Consider the following 4,675-nt stretch of genomic DNA (forward strand, 5'->3'; position numbering starts at 1 on the left):
TGTTCCAGGCCTGTCTCCTTGGCTTGTAGATGGCCATATTTTGTATGCATCTTTCTTGTTTAAAATTCCTTTCTGTATAAGCCCACCAGACATACTGAATAAGGGCCCACACTAATGGCATTATTTTAATGTAACTAATCACATCCGCAACAACACTATTTCCAAATAAGGCAACACTCTGAGGTACTGGGGGTTAGGACGGCAGCATGTGAGTTTGGGAGGGAGACAGTTTAGCCCATGACAAGGGGTCTTGTTTTTCTTGCAGAATCGGAACTCACCCTGTTCTCCTCTCCACTCTTGCTCTCTCTGGTCTCCTAAAATCCTTTCCTAGTGAAATTTGTCTCCTCCTGCAAGTCAAATTAAATGTTCACATCCTCTGTGGAGCTTCTTCTGATTTCTTTAACTGAAATTCACTGACTGCTTTTGAATCACACATGCAATTATTTTACCTTATTTAAAAAATAATTTTATTTTAGTGATTATTTTCTATATCACTTCTTGTATAGTACAATTCAGTTAATAAATATTTTAATAAATGAAATTATTTGTGAAGATGTTTCTTCTTCCTAACTGGGCCGTAAACTCTTAAATTAAGACATCATGTTTATACTTTTCATAACGAATATATTTTTTTAAACACAGATCCTTGTACGCAGGGGAGAAGAACAGAGACAATACTCATGTGGGAAAGAGGAAGAGCCTTTGGGGAAGGCCTCATTTAGACAAGGCTGCAGAGGATGGCTTTTCCTTGGTAGACACTTCAAGGTCCTCTACCTGTTAGCTTTGAAAGTTGGTTCCAACCGCAAATGGAGAGTAGTTTTATCTAAAGATAAATGCATGCATGGGATTGATGGAAAAAATCAGAACATCGATGTATTAACTCACAGTGAGAAATGAACTGTCATAAACACTGAAGGGCAGTGTCTTCTGATTATCTCCTATGGAAAACCAGATATAATCAAAAGTTTGCTGGATGAGCCTGGAGTCAGACCAAGGGAAAATCAATAAAGGATTTGAATATTTAATGGTATCAGTTTAAGATAGTCTGACAAATTCATCTCCATGGTGTCAGCTGCCAATGGAATAACATTCTTGAGTCTATCGGCTAAATGAGCAGGCACTAGCAATGTATGAATCTTGAGCTATTCTTCCTCTTTGTGTAATACGATTATTCTGAGTTTTATAATCTGAGATCACACCTTCCTTTTAATAACCAAATTTAAAATACTTTATGGCTTCCCTATGGCGTGACTATAAACAATTCAGCCACCTCTCAAATATTTCTGAGAATTTCTTGTCCTGCTTGTCATTTATTATCTCTCACTCTAAACTACTCCCAAGTTGCCTTGTTAGTCACTGCTTGCCATCTTATTACTATCCCTGTATGTTGCTTTAGCTAGCACTAGTTCAGTACCATCACTGTATCCTTCCTCTTTCTCCCTTACAAGAGGGTCACTTGACTGTACTCGTTAACTAGTTTGCAGGAAATCTGCAGGGAATTTCAAAACAGGAAAGGAAAAAATAATCAACCAGATATCACCGCTCCCAAAGAGCACTGGCCATGGTCCATCACAGACTATCCGTTAGTGGCAATTTCTCTACCACCATGTTGTTGAAACTCCTATCCTACTCAAATTAGAGGCCTCTTTTCTATCTTCTCTCTTGCTCTCTTCAGCCCCAAAGTTCTCAAACTGCCCTCTCCAACCCATATGGAAAAACAATAGCAAAATTCCTTCTCTAGAGAAAAATCCCAACCACATTCTATGATGGTGCTATCATTTCCAGAAAATGTTTATTAAATGCTTACTGTGTACCAAATACTATGGAGGGGGAAGAACAAATATGGCCCATGTTCTTAGGAAGTATTCATAAACAATTTTACAAATGAGTGCATTATTACAAAGTGAGGTTAGTGTTCTGAGAAAAGAAACATGGCACTTGGGAACATTTAACAATGGCATCTGGGCACAAGCGACTCCTCTGGCAGGGAGTCATGAAATACTAATCAGTGGACAAGCAGGATTAAAAGGTAGAGAGAGGGGCAGGTGGAGAGGCACAGCCCCCAGGCAGAGAAAGGCACTGCATGGGAAGGTGCCTGGATCACATGGGAAGCTAAGAAGTCTAATGTGACTAAGAGCAGAGGGGCAGAGGAGAAAGGTGTGAGCCCAAACAGTGAGGCCAGTGGCAGAGGCAGAGAGGCCAGACCATGTAGGAATTTAGAGGCCTGCTAAAGCTTAGATTTGAGTTTTGAAAAAATAAAAATAAAAAAGTCACTCTACCTGCAGCATGGAGAATGAGCTGGAGGTGGACCAGAGTCTGTACAAGAAGATAATCCAATTAAGAGATGATGGATGTTAGAATTAGGAACAACTACCAACCAAAGTGGAGAGATGAGGAAGGATTTGACAATTATTAAGGGGAGAATATCAATAGGAATCAGTGATGGATTAGAGATTATCAGTAAAAGAGAGAAAAGCCACAGACATGATCCCTAGACTTGAAATTGCACATCTGAAAAGATGAAAGTATCGTTAAATTGAAATAGGAAATTTTCAGAGAAGAGCAGAATTTAGAGGCTAAAATTGTGGGGTGAGTGTTGGTCATGTTGAGTTTGACATGCCTCTGAGACATCCAAGTAGAGTTTTTGGCTGGATATGCTGACTGGAGCTCAGGAGTGGGATCTGGGCTATACTTATTTAAGCAATATTTGGCTTAAAGAGGTAGTTAAGGGTAGATGAGATTGTCTAGGAAGATAGTACAAAGAGTCAAGGGGAGCTGAGAAGAGCAGAGGGTCTAAATGTGAGCTGTAAGAACCAGCACAGTTCATGAACAACTTGTCCACCAGAAGCTCTCTATAAAGCACAAGCAAAGCAAAAGGACAGTGTTTAGATAGTGATGTGTGAAAAAGAAAGGTTTTGGTTATCATTTATGTAATTTAGTTGGGGGAGTTTAAATGAAGATGGCAATAATAAGGTTGATAGACATGGATTATACTAGAGAGAGAATAATTGATGACTTCAGGTCTCTGAGGCTTAAAACACTGGTGCAGGGATTACCCGTGGATAGCAGAGGGAGTCTGCTGAAACACGGCAGGAACAAAGTGGGTGTTTCCTCCAATTTTGAGACAGAGTCTTGCTGTGTCTCCCAGGCTGGAGTGCAGCAGCACAATCTCCTCTCACTGCAACCTCTGCCTCCTGGGCTCAAGCGATCCTCCCACCTCAGACTCCTGAGTACCTGAGACTACAGACACATGCCACCATGCCCAGCTGATTTTTGTATCTTTTGTAGAGACAGAGTTTTGCCATGTTGCCCAGGCTGGTCTCGAACTCTGGGGCTCAAGTGATCCTCCCATCTCAGCCTCCCAAAGTGTTGGGATTATAGGCATGAGCCACCATGCCTAGTTGAATGTGGGTGTTTCTAGACACAGGTTCGGTGACAGGTTTGGACAGTGAAGAGTGTTTCAAATGATAGCTTCAGCTTTTTCTAAGTAGAAGGTTAAGTGTTCGCTTAGTGAGAGAGTTGTTAGGTTAAGTTGTAGGTTGGAGGAAAGTGGAAACATTCTGAAGTGGTCATTGGAATTGGTGGAGAGATGCAGTGTGGTGAGTCCAGGTTCAGCTGGTGGTCCTCAGCCTGCAGTGACACCACCGTGTGCTTTGCAGTGTTCTTGCAGCGGTGGTGAAGGTGAAGAGTAGATGGGAAGAAAGCAGATAGAAGGGTTAATCCAGGTTTTCTCCAGAAGGCTATGATGAAAAGAAGGAAAAGACAGTTCAGATATTGGCAAAACTGTCTCTAAAAGGAGGACTATGGAATCAAAGTTGGATAAAGATGGAAACAAGGAGAGCGGAAGGGAAAGTTGGGTGACTAGGACACAGCTGAGGCTTTCTTGAAGGCCCACTGTAGCCAAAACACCACATACTAGGAAAAAGTAGCAAGGCCATGAAAGGCAAGGCAGCTCTGGCAGTATGTGGAATACTCAGGGGTGGATCAGTTTCAAGGGGTGAGTAGTCCAGGGAGTGACTCTGAGAATGTTGGCTGACGTGGAGAGAAGAAAATCTTTTTGCAGAAAGAAGTCAAAGTACTGAAAGGCTGAGGCATTGGATGGGCCATGGTAATGAGAGCAGAAGTGCAATTAAGGTTCTCATGATCTCATCCTATCTTTCCAAACTAAATCCTGCACCATACCTCAAACCAAAAGAGTCCATAGGCATGTTTTTCCAATCTGAAGATGAGCTTTTTCCTAACTTGTTTCCATCCTGAGTGGTTTTTTCCGTGACATCAAACATATAATATATTTTCCAACACCAATTCTCCAGTTCTCAGACACTAGCTGTTATGGACCGAATGTTTGTGCCCCTTTGCCAATTCATACATTGAAACCCTAACCCTCAGTGTAGCTGTATGTAGAGTAAAAAAACTTATTAAAGATGGGACTCTGATCTGATAGGATTAGTGTCCTTATAAGAAGAAGCACCAGAGATATCTCTCTTTCTCTCTTTCTCTGTCTCTGTCTCTCTCTCTCTCTCTCTTCCCTGCATGCATGCACCAAAGAAAGCCCACGTGAAGACACAGGGACAAGGCAGCCGTCTGCAAGCCAGGAAGTGAGTCCTCACCAGAAACCAACCCTGCTGGCACCTTCATCTTAGACTTCAAGCATCCAGAGCTATGAGGAAATATA

At 41.8% G+C, this 4,675-nt stretch overlaps 1 annotated feature.

Annotated features, from left to right (window-relative positions):
• Positions 3,611–4,111: an enhancer, noted in NCBI's record as "H3K4me1 hESC enhancer chr8:55923506-55924006 (GRCh37/hg19 assembly coordinates)". NCBI's record gives its function as "activates a minimal SCP1, AML or CMV promoter by ChIP-STARR-seq in primed H9 embryonic stem cells {active_cell/tissue: H9 hESC(primed)}" and the evidence as "EXISTENCE:reporter gene assay evidence [ECO:0000049][PMID:30033119]".

The sequence above is a fragment of the Homo sapiens genome, chromosome 8 (genome assembly GCF_000001405.40).
Source record: "Homo sapiens chromosome 8, GRCh38.p14 Primary Assembly".
Classification (NCBI taxonomy): Eukaryota; Metazoa; Chordata; class Mammalia; order Primates; family Hominidae; genus Homo; species Homo sapiens.